This window comes from Homo sapiens, chromosome 15 (genome assembly GCF_000001405.40).
Source record: "Homo sapiens chromosome 15, GRCh38.p14 Primary Assembly".
NCBI lineage: Eukaryota > Metazoa > Chordata > Mammalia > Primates > Hominidae > Homo > Homo sapiens.
Window position 1 is genome coordinate 55,260,062 of NC_000015.10, and position 20,584 is coordinate 55,280,645.

General features: G+C 40.8%; 1 protein-coding gene across 15 annotated transcripts in view, besides 1 other annotated feature; it reads right to left on the bottom strand.

The window, feature by feature from the left end:
* The window catches only part of RAB27A (RAB27A, member RAS oncogene family), a 116,158-nt gene that overhangs the window by 57,096 nt on the left and 38,478 nt on the right, over nt 1-20,584 (bottom strand). For 9 of the 15 annotated variants that reach the window (NM_001438970.1, NM_183235.3, NM_001438975.1 and 6 more), the window contains exon 2: nt 10,104-10,223. The exons of 1 other annotated variant lie outside the window; for it this stretch is intronic. The gene's annotated coding sequence lies outside the window, so the exon portion shown is untranslated. Of the gene's footprint in view, nt 1-10,103; nt 10,339-10,427; nt 10,862-20,584 lie in introns of those variants that run through there. 5 more of the 15 variants (NM_183236.3, NM_001438978.1, NM_004580.5 and 2 more) reach the window with 3 other exon arrangements.
* Nucleotides 19,630-19,924: an enhancer, noted in NCBI's record as "tiled region #6285; K562 Activating DNase unmatched - State 5:Enh". NCBI's record gives its function as "activates a minimal TATA promoter and a strong SV40 promoter by Sharpr-MPRA in K562 cells {active_cell/tissue: K562}" and the evidence as "EXISTENCE:reporter gene assay evidence [ECO:0000049][PMID:27701403]".

Sequence of the window (20,584 nt, forward strand, 5' to 3'; positions counted from 1 at the left end):
TTTAATTTACCTACCTAAGTACATGCATATTTCTCCATCTATTTACGTATTTTTAGTGCCTTTAAAAATATTCTCAAATCTCACAAAAGAAGATATACAAATGGCAAATATGCATATGAGAAGATGCTCAATATCATATGTTATTAGAGAATTGCAAATTAAAACAAGAATGAGATATCACTATACACCTATCAGAATGACCAAAATCCAAAACACTGACAACATCAAATGCTGGTGAGGATGTGGAAACCCAGAACTCTCCTTCATTGCTGGTAGGAATGCAAAATGGTACAAGCCCTTTGTTATAGACAGTTTGGCAGTTGTTTACAAAGCTAAACTTACTCTTACCGTACAATCCAATCACATTCTTTGGTATTTACCCAAATGAAGGGAGAACTCATGTCCACACAAAAACCTGCACACTGATATTTATTATAGCAGCTTTATTCATAATTGCCAGAACTCAGAAGCAACAAGATGTTCGTCAGTAGATGAATGGATAAATAAACTGTGGTACATTCAGACAATGGAAAATTATTCAGCACTAAAAAGAAATGAGCTATCAAGCCATGAAAAAACATGGAAGAACCTTAAATGCATATTACTAACTGAAAGAAGCCAATCTGTATGATTCCAACTATGTGGCATTCTAGGAAAGGCTAAACTGTGGAGATAGTACAAAGATCAGTGGTTATTAGGGGTTGGAGTGGGGGAAGTGAAAGAGATGAATAGGCAGAGAACAGACGATTTTTAGGGCAGTGAAACTATTTTGTGTGACACTATAACATAGATAGATGTCATTATACATTTGTATACATACCCATAGAATGTACAACACCAAGAGTGAACTCCAATCTAAACTATGGACTTTGGATGATAATGTGTCAATAGAGGTTCATCATGTGTAACAAACGTACCACTCTGGTATGGGATGTTGATAGTGGGGGAGGCTATGCATGTTGGGGGGTTTGGGAGGGAAGGGAATATATGGAAACTGTACTTTCTACTCAGTATTACTGTGAACCTAAAACTGCTCTAAAAACTAAAACTCGGCCAGGCATGGTGGCTCATGGTGGCCTGTAATCCCAGCACTTTGGGAGGCCGAGGCGGGTGGATCACGAGGTCAGGAGTTCAAAACCAGCCTGGCCAAGATGGTGAAACCCCCATCTCTACTAAAATATAAAAATTAGCCAGGCGCGGTGGCAGGCACCTGTAATCCCAGCTACTCAGGAGGCTGAGGTGGGAGAATTGCTGGAACCCGGGCAGCAGAGGTTTCAGTGAGCCATGATCGTGCCACTGCACTCCAGCCTGGGTGACAGAGTTAGACTCTGTCTCAAAAAAAAATAAAAATAATAAATAAATAAACTCTAAGAAAAGAATATTTTTGGCTGGGTACTGTGGCTTACACCTGTAATCCCAGCACTTTGGGAAGCCAAGGCAGCCAGATTATGAGATCAGGAGTTCAAGACCAGCCTGGCCAACACGGTGAAACCCCATCTCTCCTAAAAATACCAAAAAAAAAAAAAAAAGTTAGCTAGGCTTGGGGGCGTGTGCCCGTAGTCCCAGCTACTTGGGAGGCTAAGGTAGAAGAATAGCTTGAACCCAGGAGGCGGAGGTTGCAGTGAGCCGAGATCACTCACTGCATCTCAAAAAAAAAAAAAAAAAAAAAAAAAAGCATCTTTTTGAAAAGTTTTCGGGCCAGGCACAGTGGCTCATGCCTGTAATCCCAGCACTTTGGAAGGCCGAGGTGGGTGGATCATGAGGTCAGGAGTTCAAAACCAGCCTGGCCAACATGGTGCAATCCCATCTCTACTAAAGATACAAAATTAGCTGGGCATGGTGGCATGCACCTGTAATCCCAGCTACTCGGGAGGCTGAGGCAGAAGAATTGCTTGAACTCAGGAGACAGAGGTTGCAGTGAGCCAAAATGGCACAATTGCACTCTGGCCTGGGTGACAGGGCGAGACTCCATCCCAAAAAAAAAAAAAAAAGTTTTCAATAAACTCTTTTCATGAAGATATTGTACATCTTTCAACTTATTGATACTTTGTTTTTGTCACTACTGTGATAACTTTTAAACATGTATCTTCTATTTCTTACATAGCCATACTAATTCCAGCAATCTGTTAAACATATTAGGTAAAAATAAATTACTTCTTCCTTTCTAATCTTACCTTTTAGTCTAATTATAAAAAGTCGGCCAGGCGCGGTGGCTCATGCATGTAATCCTAGCAATTTGGGAGGCCAAGGTGGGCGAATCACAATGTCAGGAGATCCAGACCATCCTGGCTAACACAGTGAAACCTCGTCTCTACTCAAAATACAAAAAAATTAGCCGGGCGTGGTGGTAGGCACCTGTAGTCTCAGGTACTCGGGAGGCTGAGGCAGGAGAATGGCGTGAACCCGGGAGGCAGAGCTTGCAGTGAGCCGAGATCACGCCACTGCACTCCAGCCTGGGCAACAGAGTGAGACTCTGACTCAAAGAAAAAAAAAAAATAGGTAAGAACAAAACAAAACAAAAAAACAGTGAATAGACATGGTGATACAGGTAGTCTTATCTCTTTTTTTTCTTTTTTTTTGTTTTTTTTTGAGACAAGATCTCACTCTGTTGTCCAGGCTGGAGTGCAATGGCACAATCACAGCTCACTGCAGCCTCGGCCTCCCAGGCTCAGGTGACTGTCCCGCCCCAGCCTCCCTTGTCCAGGCTGGTCTGGAACTCCTGGGCTCAAGCCACCCACCTGCCTCAGCCTTCTAAAGTGCTGGGATTATAGGTGTGAGCCACCACGCCCAGCCCAGTCTCGTCATGTCTTGATTCTAACATTTCACTGTTAAGAATGACATTTGCTGTAGATTTTTGGTACATATTTTTATCAGGTCAAGGAAGTTCATCTATCCTAGTTTGCTAAGTACGAGTATTATGAATGGGTGTCAACTTTATCACATTTTGTTTCAGCATGTATCAAGGAGACTGCTACTTTTTTCCCTTAATCTGTTAATTTACCAGCTTTTATATTTATTCCGCCTTTGATATTTTTCTTTCCTTTCTTCTAGCTTCTTCTCTCACTTTCCTGGTTTCTGCTCTTTTCTCATACTTTCTACCTAGAATTTCTCTTTCAAAGTAATTCTGTTTCTTCCTTTTGCATTCGCCAGGGGGTAGGGGAGAGCAAAGGGAGGTAGTTCTCAGGGTAATTAATAAATATTTGAATGGCTAAAAAGTGAAATACCTAATAGGTGCCAGGTCCTTGAGGTGACCTTACCCAAAACCAGTCTTCAAATGTGCCATATTACATTTATATAAGTCGCTCCCGTCTTGGGCTTAAAAAAAAAAGTTACTTGAGATGCAGTCACTAGAGGAAGAATTATAGTAGAATGCTTTAAACAGAAATGGTGTTTCACCCTCTAGAGAAACATCGAAAATGCATTAGCTATCATCCGAATTTTCTTTTGAACACAGTACTATATTTAATTTTAACTACTAGCACTTGGGTTCCCCCATTTAATACCTAGAAAGTAGGGCACTAGATTATAAAAATGCCAAGTATCTGAAGAGAGACAAGGAATAACGTTTATGCATTCTGTAATTCAACACTGTATGTTAAAGAGGCCAGCCCATGTCTCTTCTTAATTTTAAAATTAAAGAAGCCGAACCCAAATTTCTGAATTCTAGCTAATAATTTAGGACCCACTTAAAAAAACTTTGCCAAGTTTTTCCATTAGTCTGTTTAATTGTCCTAAAGTCTGTATTTCATTTAACTCCATGAAATGCATATATTTGAGGAACGATGTTAGAGTAACCATGATCTAGAAATGAAAAGGGCACTTACACAAAAGAAACAAATCAGCAAACAACTCTGTAACAGAATTCTGGAGTCTTTAGTCTTACAAAAAACCACATTAAACATCGTAAGAGAATACAACATTTAGTCCACACCTGACTCCAAAGAGTCTCTCAACTATAGCCAGGGTTATTTTTTCTGTTTGTTTGTTTGTTTTTGTTTTTTGAGACAAGAGTCTCACTCTGTCACCCAGGCTGGAGTTGGAGTGCAGTGGTCCGATCTTGGCTCATTGCAACCTCTGCCTCTGGATTCAGGTGATTCTCATGCCTCAGCCTCCCAAGTAGTTGGGAGTACAGGCATGCACCACCACATCCGGTTAATTTTTCTATTTTTAGTATAGACAGGGTTTCGCCATGTTGCCCAGGCTGGTCTCAAACTCTTGACCTTAGGTGATCAGCCGGCCTCGGCCTCCCAAAGTACTGGGATTACTTTGGGTGTGAGCCACTGTGCCCAGCCAAAATCTTTATTTTGTGATTTCTACAAACCTTTAATCACGTTTAGATTTTAAACATTTTTCCAACCTCTATAAGCTAGAATAGATGGGGATCTGTTTTTTAACAGAAATTTTAAGCTGTTTTAGAGAAAAATAAACTTGGCTCAAATGACAAATGTGAAATTATCAAAATTACGAAGCATAGGAGGATGTGGGAAAGGGTTGTAGTGTTCACAACACATAGGAAAGTATTTCCCAAAAAATATATATTAAATGTACTTCAAATATAACAGAAGTTAAATGCAGAATAGCATACATATACCTCTCCAAAATCTGTTAATAATTTTAAATGAGGTTTGATAAGTAAATTGGCCTCCACCAATGATCCAAAGATATACTAGTAAAGCTTGATGCCACTGAGGAGGGAGAGAGCCTGGTTTAAATGACTGAAATTCATTCAGTCATTTAAGCAGTAGCTCATGAGCACATCAATTAAACATCTAACAAACAAGAATTGTGGATGTGCCACTATGTTAAGCACCAAGAATGTGGCTCTAGAAGAGCAACAGTCTAATAGGTAAGCTGTTTGTGGAAATGCCCAAGGAAAATGCATGGAAACAAGAACTATAGGGCCCGGCATGGTGGCTCATGCCTGTAATCCTAGCACTTTGGGAGGCCGAGGTGGGCGGATCACCTGGGGTTGAGAGTTCAAGACCAGCCTGACCAACATGGTGAAACCCCATCTCTACTAAAAATACAAAATTAGCCGGGCGTGGCGGCGCATGCCTGTAATCCCAGCTACTTGGGAGGCTGAGGCAGGAGAAACATTTGAACCCAGGAGGCGGAGGTTGCAGCCAGCCGAGATCGCACATTGCACTCCAGCCTGGGCGACAAGAGTAAAACTCTGTCTCAAAGAAAAAAAGAAGAAGAAGAAGAACTGTAACAGAAGTATGCACAAGCCGTTGGGGAGATGGGAGGGCTGGGGAGATAGCACAAGAGGGAGAAGAAGGAGCCCACAATGTCTAAGGAGGGAATCAGAAAAACTTCACACAGGGGCATCTGAGCTAAGGACTAAAGTCAGAATGTGAGTGTACAGGCACACATAAGGACAAGTGACAGATGTGAATGGACAAAAATTACACAGTGCACTAGATAATGTGGGGAACGACTTTACCTCACATGTCAGCCAAATAAGCATTATCCTTTCAAGATAACAGAAACTATAAGCAAATAATTCTTGATGCCAATCCAAAACATGTAACTGAGTTTTGATGGAATTTGGTAAGGAATGCCTGATGCTCAAAATTAAAAAAAAAAAAAAGACCAGGTTTCGAACCGTCAGGAGGGAACACATCTTGGGCTGACTGATGCGGGCAGGTAAGGGTTTGAGGGTTTGCGCTTGCAAAGGTGTAAGAGGCTAAGGTTACTTAGGATGCATTAAAGGACTTCAGCAGTGGATGTGGCTGAAGGGATGCATGGAGGTAGGGGAGAATGTATCCAGAACAGAGGCTGAAAACATGGGAAAGTGTTTGAGACCTGGGTCTAAAAGGACTGTGACATGGCACTAAAAAGTTTGTGTGTTATCCTCTGGGCAACAGAAGGCCACCACGGGCTCTTTATGCAGGAGAGGACCATGAGATGTGTGCCTTAGAAAGATCTCTATGGCAGCCACATGGAGACTGGAAATACACAGAGCATCAGAAGGCTCTAATGTTACCGACTGAATGTTTGTGTCTCCCCAAAATTTGTATGTTGAAATCTAATCCCCAATGTGATGGTATAAGGAGGCAGGTCTTTGGGAAGTAATTAGGTTTTGAGGATAGATCCTTCATGAAGGGGATTAGTGCCCCTATAAGAAGAGGCCAGAGAGCTACCTTTCTGCCTTGTGAGAATACAGTGAAAAGTCAAGTGTCTGCAACCTGGAAGAGAGCTCTCACCAAAATCTGAGCATGCTGATACCCTGATCTCAGACTTTCAGCCTCTAGAACAATGAGGAATAAATTTCCGTTGTTTGCAAGCTATCCAGTCTATGGTACTTTGTTATAACAGTTTGAACTGGTTAAGACATATGGAGAGAGATTTTGAGGGTTTGAATTGTGTTGGTGACAGTAGGGATGAAGAAGAAGTGATTAATTTGAGATATATTTAGGAGGTAGAAATCAATATAACTTCTTAACAGACTAGTATAGAAATTAAAGATAACCAAAACTTTTAGTTTGGTAAATAAATGGTATAACATTAACTGAAAAAGGAAAAGATGGTTTGAGAAGATGATAATTATTATAACTAACACTAAGCACTATTCTAAATCCTTTAAAGCACTAACTCATTTAGTCTTCACAACAACCGTATAAGGTCCCTAAATCTACAGATGAAAAATACCAATGCACAGAAAGGTTAATAAAGTTGCCCAAGGTCACACAGCCAGAAATGGCAGAACCAAGATGTGATCTCAGACACACTCTCAACTACCACATTACACTGTACGGTACACAACCAGTTAAACATCTCTCATGTCTGAGGGACATCAAGGGAGTTGTGTTTAATTTGCATTTGGAAAACAGACCTAGGGCTCACAAGAAGAATATGGCTATGAATTTTAGTGTCATCAACATAATAGTATTTCCTTAGGCCATGGGAAAAATGAGATGGACATTTAGAGTGAAGAGAGAACAAAAATGTAAGGAGCAGCAAGACAGATACAAGAAGGACACTAGGAAGGAGATTTTTCAAGCAGTGATTGTCCACAGGCTGGCTCAGTTGCCACACCACAGAGGTACAAACTTGAAGTGGTCTGGGCCTTCTCCGTGTGAAAATGGCAAATCCATTCACTGTTTGCTGGATGAATGGACTTATCATTGAGCTATTTGCTGGATTTACCATCTAGCTAAAAGATAGCTAAAAGATTCCAGCTTAGACTATGTCATCAAGAAAGGAGGCCTGATAGGGTATGAAACGGGGAAAACAAGAAAAACAAACAAAAATGGATGCTCTCAGCTCTTGAAAGGATGATTTATACCCGTGTTTGAGCAAAGCAGATTCTGCCTTCAGAGAAGCAGCAGCAAAGATAGCTCATTTCTCAAGCAGCACCCCATCTCATCCATCACCCACTTCCCCTACCTGCCCCCCAGCCTACACCACAGGACCTCTGCTCTGCCAAGAGGGCAGGGCCCCAGCCACGCTGCAGCAACACCAGAAGCGCAAAAGAAAATGTGCTGTTGCATAGACAGCGCAAATAAATAATGGTTCTTGTGATAATCAGCTTTTGCTTTTAATGGGCTTCACATGACTCATCAGCTATCACGTATGCTATAGCCTGAGCTCTGGCTCTAAATCAAACAAGTTCAAAGGGAGAAGAAAGGAATAATAGCAAAAGATGAGCAGATATCTCAAGAAGCCTTAATCCTACTGAGGAAAAACAGAAATGGAGGCAGGAAGAAGACAGTTTCCCCTATGAGCACTCAGGTACCGAGGGTCCAGAGAGGGCGGAAGCTGAAACAGCCGCAGAGAGAGGCAGCCTAGTTGCCGTGACGCCATCCTGCCAGCCAGCAAGATTTCACCAGACCGTTCCCTTTCTGCCACAGTTCCTGTCTTGTGGGCAGCAGAAGCACCAAGAAAGAAGAAAAATGGTTGTTTGTATTCTTATGGCTGCAGGGTCATACCTCTGTGACTTAACTATTTCAACAAGTGACAAGGAGAAAGTGGTAAGAGACAGAGAGAGCAGCCAAGATGGGGGTAAACTCCTTTGGAATGTATTAAATCCAACTTCATTCTATGGATAAAATGCCCTCATGAATAAACACTCATCCCCAAAACATCTTTTTTTTTTTTTTGGTATTTATAATCCAAGAACCTTGACAGAGAATGTCAGCTTTTTATCAAGGCTCTTTCCCACAATGACTTCTGATAATGGGGGTTGGGGTTCATTCCCAGGTGAAAAGCATGAGTTTGTGGCAAAGAAAACAGTATTGTTTGGTCACCACACTGGAATGGAAGCCAGGATATTCTGAAGGATGCCTTGGCACTAATACAAATTAGCAAATGACTTTAGCACTTCTGAGCCTCAATTTCTTCATCTGTAAAATGAGAAGAATGGACTGGGTGAATATGAAGTCCTTCCACTCTCTTAATCTATGCTTATGGGTGCTCAGAGCACGGGAACCCTTCCAGGTGTCTCTTGTGGTTAGGCTGTCCATGTGTCAGGACCCTGATTGTGCTCCCAGGGACACACAAGTGTGAGAGTGGCTACAACTCAATGGAAGCAATAAGTAAACACGTACACACTCACAAAGCTAGATCCCTATATTTGATTAAACCATGGGTTAGTAGACAGGAACCATGTCTTATGCATCTTCACACACTCAAAATCCAGCCCAGTCCAGGCACTGGGCTTAACAAATGTTTACTGCATGCATTTTGAGGCAAATCTTTAAAATGTCATATTAAGAAGCTTTTCAGACATGTCGGTTATGGATTGAATTGTGTCCCCCTAAAATTCACATGTTGAAGCCCTAACTCCCAGTACCTCAGAATACAATGTTTTTTGGAGCTAGGACCTTTATAGAGGGAATCAAGTTAAAAAGAGGTCATTAGGGTGGGTCCTAATCCACCCTCATGGTCTCTTCACAAGAAAGGAACTGGGATCACAGACATGAACACAGGGAGGATGGCATGAAGAGACATAGGGAGAAGACAGCCATCCACAGCTAAGCAGAAAGGCCTGGAACGGATTCTCCCTCACAGTCCTCAAAAGGGACCAACCCCGCTGACATCTTGATCTTAGACTTTCAGGCTCCAGAACTGTGAGGCAATAAATTTCTGTTTTTGAAATCACACAGTTTTAAAGCCACCCAGTTTATGGTACTTTGTTATGGCAGCTCTAGTAAACTAATACAATATCCAGAAGTAGAATTATATAATGAAATCTCCCATCACACTCACCACTCAGATCTTTCACTCCGGCATACTTCATTTCGTATTTCTAAAATATATGGACATTTCCTTACATAACAATACCCTTATCAAACCTAACAGAATTAACACTAATTTAAAAGCAGATTTAATTCCCAGAAGAAATAAACCTTATACTAAAACACACACTTACATTCCTCCATTAAAACTATTAACACTTTTAGGCCGGGCACGGTGGCTCATGCCTGTAATCCCAGCACTTTGGGAGGCCCAGGTGGGAAGATCACTTGAGGTCAGGAGTTAGAAAGCAGGCTGGCCAACATGGTGAAACCCCATCTCTACTAAAAATACAAAAATTAGCCAGGCATGGTAGCGTGGGGTCCCAGCTACTCAGGATGCTGAGGCAGGAGAATCACTTGATCCTGGGAGGCAGAGGTTGCAGTGACCCGAGATTGTACCACTGCACTCAAGCCTGGGCGACAGAGCAAGACTCTGTCTCAAATTTAAAAAACAAAACAAAACAAAACAAAAGCTATTAATACTATCAAAAACAAAACACCAATAAGCTTGAATTTTTGTCAAACAACCCTCAGAGGATAAGCAAGACTCTCAGAATAATTCAATTTCCTAATCAGCTCTCATATTCAACAATTTCCTGAAAGTAAAAACCTATGTTTCTTTATTCAAGTACAGAAAAGAAAGGAAGAATGCGGTCAGTATTCATACCCACTCCGTGGTCACTGAAAATGCACTTTTCAAACTAATCCCAAGAAATTTAGTAGACATCATTAAGTCTTTAGTTTAAAAACAGTACGTGCAATGGTATTGTATGTTATATTGCACATAATTTAAGCGCATGAAAATTGACATGACAGAGCTCAAAACCACTACCAAAAAAAAAAAAGATAAATACAAAACCATACCTTTACAGGGTAGAGAACCGCTTGTTATGATTTTCTAAAACGTTAGAGACTGGAGTTACCAATGCTTCAACAATTGACAACTTCCAATCACATGTCCTCTTCAGGAAGGTTACTTTTTGTCTAATGTTAAGACAAAGAGAAATGTTAAAGTCAGAATGGCCTACTTAAAAAGTTTTTCAAAAGAGTCTTTGGAAAAGCAGTTCGCTCCATCAACTTTCAAAACAGGCATCGCTGTAAAAACCCACAATCCAGCTAATTAGTCTCAGCTGTTTGTCATATGGCACTGCAGACCAGTCAAGTGATTTTTGCCCCTTTCAAGCTTACCAAGTTCCAGTTCGACTGGCCACTCAGAGGGCGGCTTTATTAACCTCTTCTGGTGTTAGAAGACTCTGCACTTCAGCTCTTTCTTCCGCCCACCTACCCCGTGAATCAAAACAGTAGAACATTTGTTTTCTTGAGAAAGTGCCTTGTATTCTCAAGGCCCTTAAAGGTTATATTCATATTGTTGCTTACAAATACAATGCCTGATCCAAACAAACAATATGGGGGATCAAATGGAAGTGGCAGGAGGGATGGGGCTAGATTACTTACCAGACCTTGCAGCTGGCCTCCAATTTCATAAGTAAAACTGCCTACAAGGGAGTCCACCCAGATATCTTGCTGGCATCTCAAATCCAGCATGTCCCGTACTCACCTCCTTTGCTTTTCTCCACAACCTTGCTTCAAACCCACTTCTCTTCCTGTGTCTTGAATCACACAATCCCAACACAGCCAGAAATCTGATGGCTCTCATTAACTCCTCCCTCTCTGCCCCTCCCACTTCCAATTGGCCACCAAGTCCTAAGGATATTCATCTTCTTGCTCCTACTCCAAGTTTTTATTATTTCTTAGATGGCTATAATAAACCACTTATTTGGTTTTCTGGTCCCCACGTATTCTTGACTCTGATCCATCCTCCACACCACACCCAAAGTGATCTTTCCAAAAGGCAAATGAGAGTCCATCACTCTCCTGTTAATGGCTCCCCACAATCTCCACAATAAAATCCCTGCTCCTTAAGCTTCTGCCTTCAGTATCACCGCCTCCTTCCTATAAGCTGCTAGAGTCCAGCCATCAGTACGTTTTATAATTCGCTAAGTTAAGTGGTTCTCAAACTGTGGTTCCAAGACCAGTATTATAGCATCTTCTAGGAACTTATTAGATTTGCACATTCTTGGGCCCACCCAGCTGAATCAGAAATTCTGAGGATAGGGCACAGGTGTCTGTGGTTCAACAAGCACTCCAGGTGATTCTGATACACACTAAAGTGTGAGAGCTGCTGCTGTAAATCCACCAAGTTCTGTTCACTAAGAGAATCAGCTCCTTGGCTCCTTGTGCCAGCAATGCTGAGCTGGATACACCTTCCCTGTGCTTACTGTTTCTAGAAATGGTCACCCCTGTATGCTAATTATTCAATTTATTTCTTGGTCTTTGCTGTTGCTTTGTGACAATCTTGAAGACAGGGGTTGTATCTTGTTTTTTGTTCATTCACCCCACAATCACTTATTGAGCACTTATGAATTATTGGGTGAAATGTCGGACATAGAACTAATCAATCTATCCCTTGCCTCTAGGAGAAGCTACGCTTTCATTATGGCAGCTCAACGTGTGACTGAAGACTCAATCTGTCCAATCTAAAAAAACCACCACCGGCCTCAAGAACTGTGGGCAACTAAGAAAAGTCTGAGCACAACCAGTCTGACATCTCTTCTCATGGTAAATGAAATGGAATTTTCGTTTCACACCTGACGAAAATCTCATGAAAATGCACCTCTTTCTTTTTTATATCACACAGCAACCTCGAGAATTTTGAGAACAATTTAGTAAGAAAATGTATCCAGATTTTTAAATCCCAGATTAAAATTCATTAGAGTTAGCTTCCTTTAATTACAAGTTCATATTAGCACTTCTCAACCATCAGGATATATAGGAATCTCCTAGGGATCTTTCAAAATGCTAATTCTGATTCAATATTCCTGTAGGGGGAGATCGAGACCATCCTGGCTAACACGGTGAAACCCCGTCTCTACTAAAAATACAAAAAAATTAGCCAGGTGTGGTGGCGGGCGCCTGTAGTCCCAGCTACCCGGGAGGCTGAGGCAGGAGAATGCCGTGAACCCGGGAGGCGGAGCTTGCAGTGGGCCGAGATCGCACCAATGCACTCCAGCTTGGGTGACAGAGTGAGACTCCGTCTCAAAAAAACAAAAACAAACAAAAAAAATCCTGTAGGGGGCTCAGGAGTCTGTATTTCTCCTAGTAAGCACCCAGGTGATGCCCAGGTAATACTAACATTCCTAACTCTGGAACTATAATTTGAATAGCAAGTAAAATTATGACAATACCAATTTTCATAGTCTGCTTAAAGCAACAAAACCTTTTTTGGATGCTTTTGTATTGAAAGCTTTCTAAAATATCTTTCAGACTTCAGAATAAAGATGGCATGCTCAACATGTACATGTGGTTCTGCTGCCTCCCAAAATCTCACTAATATAGCAATAAAGAATGTTTTATTTCTTTTAGACATAAACTCACAAGGACAAAGATCAGGTAGTGGAAGCAACAAAATGGTAGAAGCTACAGAGTAGATGGACTAGAGGTAACTGATTAGCAGACCTCGGAAAGCTGACTCTTTATCTGCCAGTAGGGAAATCCAAGAAGGAACTCATCACAGAATCTCCAGAAAGTCTCAGGGATTCAGAACCCCAAAACTTCTGGAATTTGGGGGACAGTAACATAGGGACTCAAAACAGACAGAATGGTGGTCATCTGCTTAAAAAGCAGCTCAGCACACCAAGAGAAGAAGAAAAGAAAGAACGAACTACCAAATAGAAAATAATGAACAAAATGGCATAGTAAGTCCCTATCTATCGATAATTACTTTAAATGTAAATGTATTACATTCTCCAACTGAAAGACATAGAGGTTGGGCACGGTGGCTCAAGCCTGTAATCCTAGCACTTTGGGAGGCCAAGGCGGGCAGATCACTTGAGGTCAGAAGTTCAAAACCAGCCTAGCCAATGTGGTGAAACTCCATCTCTACTAAAAATACAAAAAAATTAGCCAGGCATGGTGGAGGGCACCTGTGATCCCAGCTACTAGGGAGGCTGAGGCATGAGAATTGCTTGAACCCGGGAGGCGGAGGTTGCAGTGAGCCAAGATCGCGCCACTGCACTCCAGCCTGGGCGACAGAGCGAGACTCCATCTCAAAAAAAAAAAAATAAAAATAAAAATAAAAAATAAAAGACATAGAATGACAGAATATATATAAAAAATAAGATACAATTATTTGCTGCCTGAAAGAGAGTTGCTTTAGATTTAAGGGCAGACAGACTGGAAGTAAAGGGATGGAAAAAAATATTTCATGCAAATGGAAACCAAAAGAAAGCAGGGGTGACTATACTTATATCAGAATAGACTTCAAGTAAAAAACAGTCCCAAGAGACTAAGAAGGTAGTTATGTGGTGACAAGGAGGTGAATTCATCAAGCAGATATAACAGTTGTAAACATGTAGGCACCCAACATCAAAGCACCTAAATATATAAAGCAAATATTAACCAAACTGAAAAGAGAAATAGATAACCATACAATAATAGTAAGGGATTTGAATACCCTGTTTTCAACAATGAACAGATCATCCAGATAGAAAATCAATAAGGAAATGGCAGATCTGAACAACATTATAGAACAAATGGAATTAACAGGCACATACAGAACTTTCTATCCAACTAGAGGAGAATATACATTCTTCTCAAGCGCACGTGGAATATTCTTCCGGATAGAACATACAGTAGGCCACAAAACAAGTCTCAACAAATTTAAGACGATCGAAATCATATTAATTATCTTTTCTGACCACACCGATATGTAACTAGAAATCAATAACAGGAAGAAAACTGAAAAATTCACAAATCTGTGGAAATTTAGTAACATAATCCTGAACAGCCAATGGGCCAAATAAAATCAAAAGGAATTTTTTTTAAATCTTGAGATACATGAAAATAGAATACAACACATCAAAATTTTAGGGGATTCAGGAGAAGCAGTTTTAAGAGGGAAGTTTACAGCGATAAATGCCTCCATTAAGAAAAAAGAAAGATCTCCAGTAAACAACCTAAGTTTATACTGCAACAAACTAGAAAAAAGGTAACAAACTAAGCCCAAAATTAGAAGAAAGAATGAAATAATAAAAATTGGAGCCAAAATGAAATAGAGACCAAAAAAACAGAAAAGAAAGAAAAGATGAATAAAACTAAGACTGTTTTTTGAAAAAATAAACAAAATTGACAAAACTGGCTGGGTGCGGTGGTTCATGCCTGTAATCCCAGCACTTTGGGAGGCCAAGGCGTGCGTATAACCTGAGGTCAGGAGTTTGAGACCAGCCTGACCAACATGGCAAAACCCCGTTTCTATTAAAAACACAAAAATTAGCCAGGCGTGGTGGCAGGTGCCTGTAATCCCAGCTGCTTGGGAGGCTGAAGCAGGAGAATCACTTGAACCTGGGAAGCAGAAGTTGCAGTGAGCTGAGATTGCACCACTGCACTCCAGCCTGGGTGACACAGCAAGAATCCGTCCTTAAAAAAATAAATAAATTATATATATATATATATATATATATATATATGTATAGAGAGAGACAGACAAAACTTTAGCTAGTCTAAAAAAAAGAGTAAAAACTCAAATAAATAAAATTATAAATGAAATAAGAGGTGTTACAACTGATACCACAGAGGTACAAAGAATAATAAGAGATACTCTAAATAATCCAGTCGGGCGCAGTGGCTCACGCCTGTAATCCCAGGACTTTGGAAGGCCAAAGTAGGTGGATCACTTGAGGTCACGAGTTCAAGACCAGCCTGGCCAACATGGTAAAAGCCCGTCTCCACTAAAAATACAAACATTAACTGGGGCATGGTGGTGCACACCTGTAATCCCAGCTACTTGGGAGGATGAGGCAGGAGAATCACTTGAACCCAGGAGGCAGAGGTTGCAGTGAGTCGAGATTGCTCCATTGCACTCCAGCCTGGGTGACAGAGTGAGACTCCATCTAACAACAACAAAAAAAAAAAGACAAAAAAAAGTGGGATTACATCAAACTAAAGCTGCTGCACAGCAAAGGAAACAACAAAATGGAAAGGCAACTGGCCGGGCATGGTGGCTCACACCTATAATCCCAGCAGTTTGGGAACCCAAAGAGGGCAGATCACTTGAGGGCAGGAGTTTGAAACCAGCCTGACCAACATGGCAAAACCCCATCTCTACTAAAAATACAAAAATTAGCTGGGCACGGTGGTGGGCACCTGTAATCCTGGCTACTCGGGAGGCTGAGGCACGAGAATCACTTGAGCCTGGAGGCAGAGGTTGCAGTGAGCAGAGGTTGTGCCATTGAACTCCAGCCAGGTGACAGAATGACACTCCACCTCAAAAAAAAAGAAAGAAAGAAAAGGCAACCTATAGAAGGGAAAAAAAGGTAAATCTGATCAGGGGTTAATATCCAAAATATACAAGAACCTCATACTACTGAATACCAAAAAAACAACCCCCAAAAGAAAAAAAAATTTAATGGGCGAAAGACCTGAATAGACATTTTTTCAAAGAATACATTAAAAATGGTCAACAAGTATATGAAAAAGTGCTCGACATCACTAATCAGCAGAGAAATGCAAATCAAAACCACAATGATTTTGATTACCTCACATCTGCTAGGATGGCTAATTAAAAAAAAAAAAAAAAAAAAAACAAGAGATAAGTGTTGGCAAGGATGTGGAGAAAAGGGAACCTTGTACGCTGTTGGTGGGAATACAAATTGGTACAGCCACTATGGAAAACATTATGGAGCTTCTTTAAAAAAATGTTTTCAAAAATTTTTTAAATAGAATACCATAGGATTTGGCAATCCTACTTCTGGGTATAATACATCTGAAAGAATTGAAATCAGGATTTCTAAGTGATATCTGTACTCCCATGTTCACTGCAGCATTATTCACAATAGCCAAGACTTAGAAACAACCTCAATGTCCACTGACAATGAATGAATGAAGAAAATGTGGTCTATACATACAATGAAAAAGTATTCAGCCTTAAAAAAGAAATAAATCCTGCCACCTGTGACAATACAGATAGGTGGAAGATATTATACTAAGTTAAATAAGCCAGACACATAAAGAAAAATACTATGTGATCTCCCATATATTTAATATATAGAATCTAAAATGTCAAACTCTCCAAGCATGGTGGCCACTCCTGTAGCCCCAGCTACTCAAGAGGCTGAGGCGCGACAATTGCTTGAGCCTATGACTTCAAGGCTGCAGTGAGCTATGATCACGTCACTGCACTCCAGCCCGGGCAGCGGAGTAAGATCTTGTTTCTAAAAGAAAAAATTTTAATTTAAAAAAAAGTAACTCAAACTCCCAGAAGCAGAGAGCAGAATGATGGTTGCCAGGGACTGGGAGGAGGGGGAAATGGGAAGGTCATAGTTAAAGAGAACAAGTTTCAGTTATGCAAAATAAATAAGTTCTGAAAAGCTATTATACAGTATAGTGTCTATAGCTAATAATACTGTATTATATACTGAAAATCTGCTAAGAAGATAGATCCAGTGTTAATTGTTCTTACCACACACACACAAAAATGCAATAATAATAAAACAGGCAGGATAAAACCTTGGGAGGTGATGGATACATTTATGGCCTTGATGGTGGCGATGGTTTCATGGGTGAATAATTATCCCCAAATTCATCAAGATGTATACATTAAATATGTACAGACTTTTTATCTGTCAATAATACCTCCCATAAAGTAGTTTTTTTAAAAATAAATTGTTAAGTAGGGGAAGGAAAGAATGAACAAACAAACGTAGGAACAAATGAACAAACTCAGGTAAGAAAGAGGAGATGAAAATGGTATACTTGTGGCAGGGGTGGATGGAGCAATGAGCTAAATTCTCTACTTCTGTAATAAAGTATCAATAGATAATGACTAAAACTGAAAAACTGACCACAGAAATATAAATGTGTCATTTAGAGACTAGATGTATAAACTACTGCAAGACTTCAGTGGTTAACTCTGGAGAGCAGGAAATGGGCTGGGGGAGAGGCGTCTACTGGTTTTTTGTAACAGCCCTTGTAAAACAACGTCCACGTATAACTTTGGTAAATTTGGCAGGGCACGATGGCTCATACTTGTAATCCCAGAACTTTGGGAGGCAGAGGCGGGCAGGTCACTTGAGGCCAGGAGTTCGAGACCAGCCTGTTTGTCTCCATAATAAATGGCTCCTGACTGCTGTATTTATTTCGTGTCTTTTGTTAATTTATATTTCCTTCTCCCTCCCCTCACCTTTGCTGTCAGGCAGCTATCCCTCACCACAGTAATCAGTGTGCCTTCCTGGGACAACCCCTACCCCTTCCGATGCACTGTTTTTAATTGACAAGGCACCTGGAAACCAAATAACCAAGCTTATTAGAACTGTGTGTAAAATGAAGAAAAATGGGCACCAAAAAATGTTCTGAAAGTTGCTCTGTGATGCAGGTTGGCAATTTTCAATACATTAACCATTTGTCCAACTCAGAACCGTTTGGCCTTACTATCAACTATGGGTCAGTAGGCTGGGTGACACTCAGTGGGACCAACCATCCCAGTTTAGTGGGGACTGAGTTATAGCACTGAAAGTCATGCATCCCGGGAAACCATATCCCAGCATTGGGCAAGTTACTTCATCTTCTTCAACCTGTTTCATCATCTGTAAAATGAAAGATAATATCTGCTTTGAAAGATTGTTGAGGATTAAATGAGAAAATGTTTGTATAACTCTTGACACATATGGTAGCTGTAGCTATTATACTCACTTGCATATTGTTATTATCAACCCTAGTATCAGGTAGAAAAAGAAAGTATTCTTAGAAACATAACCTGTAATTTGCTTTATATATAGTGGACTTCAGGAAGCTGCAATGTTTGCTTTTGTGAATTTCCTTCCCATTTTGTAACACACATTTTGTTTCAGGGACTAAAACATATTAAAGAAATTTAATAGTTCAACATTTCTGATTTCTCTACTGGACAAAAGCCTGGCAGGTTTCCACTATATTTTCATAGAAATGACTCTTTTACACTATGGGAGCCCTGGGGTATTTATGTCAGTAGCCGCTTCTAAACTTGTGAACAGAAATCAGCCTGCCACCTCACAAAGAAGAGGCATCATATCTGAAATTTGTTTTTAATTTCCATTTCACTTTTTTCCTTCATAATAGCACCAGATTATTCAGTCTTCTAATCATTATTATTTTTTTTTTTTTTTTTTGAGAGGGAGTCTCACTCTGCCACCCAGGCTGGAGTGCAGTGGCACGATCTCAGCTCACTGCAAGCTCCACCTCCTGGGTTCACGCCATTCGCCTGCCTCAGCCTCCCAAGTAGCTGGGACTATAGGCGCCCGCCACCACGTCTGGCTAATTTTTTGTATTTTTAGTAGAGACAGGGTTTCACCATGTTAGCCAGGATGGTCTCGATCTCCTGACCTCGTGATCTGCCCGCCTCAGCCTCCCAAAGTGCTGGGATTACAGGCGTGAGCCACCGCACCTGGCCCAGTCTTCTAATTATTTAGTGAATTCAGTACGTTGACATGGGGCTGAAAAATCTGCATTTCTAAGTTCTAAGTTCTAAGCCAAGTCATTCACTAATTATGTCAATTCTATCCCTGAAAAATAAGGGCTTGTATCACCAAACGGATGAAATACCATTTCTGAACTCAAAAGCTGAAGCAACTCCCTACTCCACATTTATTAATTACAGCCTGAAGGAAATTGCTCACATCTATGCACCCCACAGACAAAAGGGCACAGTTGCTAAAAGAACAGTTCCAAACTTTGGGATAGATAATGGAAAGAATCACAAGTTACTCAAAGCCAAAATATGGCCTAGGAACCCTCTAAGAAGCAGTAGAGACAGCAGAAAGAGCCAGGCAGATAAGACTCTTAATAAAGGCCCCCATGGCCTGTCCTCCCATACTCTTCTATTTCTTCTCCACCCAGTGTCCGAGGCCTGTGACCACAAAACACAGGACAACACAGAACCTCAGAGAAGCCTTGAGGGGCAACTGGTCAACCAATTAGGGCAGGTGAAAATGGATCCAGGACTGGCAGCAGAATCACCTAGGATATGTGATGAAAATCCAAAATTCTGGGTCCCATTCAGGCCTCTGAATTAGGATCTCTGCAAGGGAGGCCTAGGGAATCTGCATTTATATCAAGCTTCCCAGGGGCTTTCTGGTTATACACAATCAAGTTTGTAAGCCACTGTTCTAGGGAGACAACAGATGGCAAAAATGTACAACTACAGTTAGGCAAATAGCCTGTACATCAAGATCATATTTAACTTCTACTAGCCTCAGATACCAAATCTGTAAAATAGGGATAATAATACTGACCTAGCAAGGTGGTTGTGAGAATCAAATGAAATAAGTAATAGCCTCACACACAGTGTCTCACATACAGCAGGTGCTCAATAAAAGTCCATTCCCTCGCTTGTGTATGGCATTCTAATGAAGACTTACAACAATAGTTTTTGAATAAATGTCACCTGTTTTGAATAAATATCACCAAGGAAAGCAGATGGCCAGGAAAGTTAAGGCCTCAATGTTAATGACTCATCAACTACAAAGGCCGAGGTCAGCAGCCTTAACCAGCGATTGAGTCATGAAATGTACTTGTAGACAGTGGTTCTCAAGCTTCGGGGTGCATCAGAGTCACCTAGATGGTTTTAAAACACAGACTCTAGGCCCCACCAGAGTTTCAGATTCAGTAGGTCTGGAGTGGGGCTGAAAATCTGCATTTCTATGTTCCCAGGTGGTGCTGATGTTACTGGTCCTAATCTGACACTTTGCAATAAAAAAAGAAAAACTATGCTGTGTATATTTCCTGTTTGACACTAGACTGGTTAGTTTCATGTAAATAGAGAAAAAAACTAAGAAACCAACAATTTCCGAGGCTGTGCTGCCTCTGTCCCTGAGAATCTTACTATGTTGTTTGAACAATGCATAGAGAGGACAGGGAGATTTGAGTTCTATCTTCCCACTCACTTGCTGTGTGACTCTGCATGAGACATATGATCTCTTCCAGCCTGAGTTTACTCAGGCTGGGAGTAAAGGTGAGCTAGACACTGGTTCCCAAACCAGGTTGTCCACCAACAATCACTAGAGCAGTATTTAAAATAAAACATAGATTCCCAAGCCCTAGCCACAAACCTAATAAATTAGAATCACCAAAGGAGAGACTGAAAAATGTGTTGTTGTTTCTTGTGGGTATGGTTTATATATATATATATATATATATACTTTAAGTTCTAGGGTACATGTGCACAATGTGCAGGCTTGATACATAGGTATACAGGTGCCATGTTGGTTTGCTGCACCCATCAACTCATAATTTACATTAGGTATTTCTCCTAATGC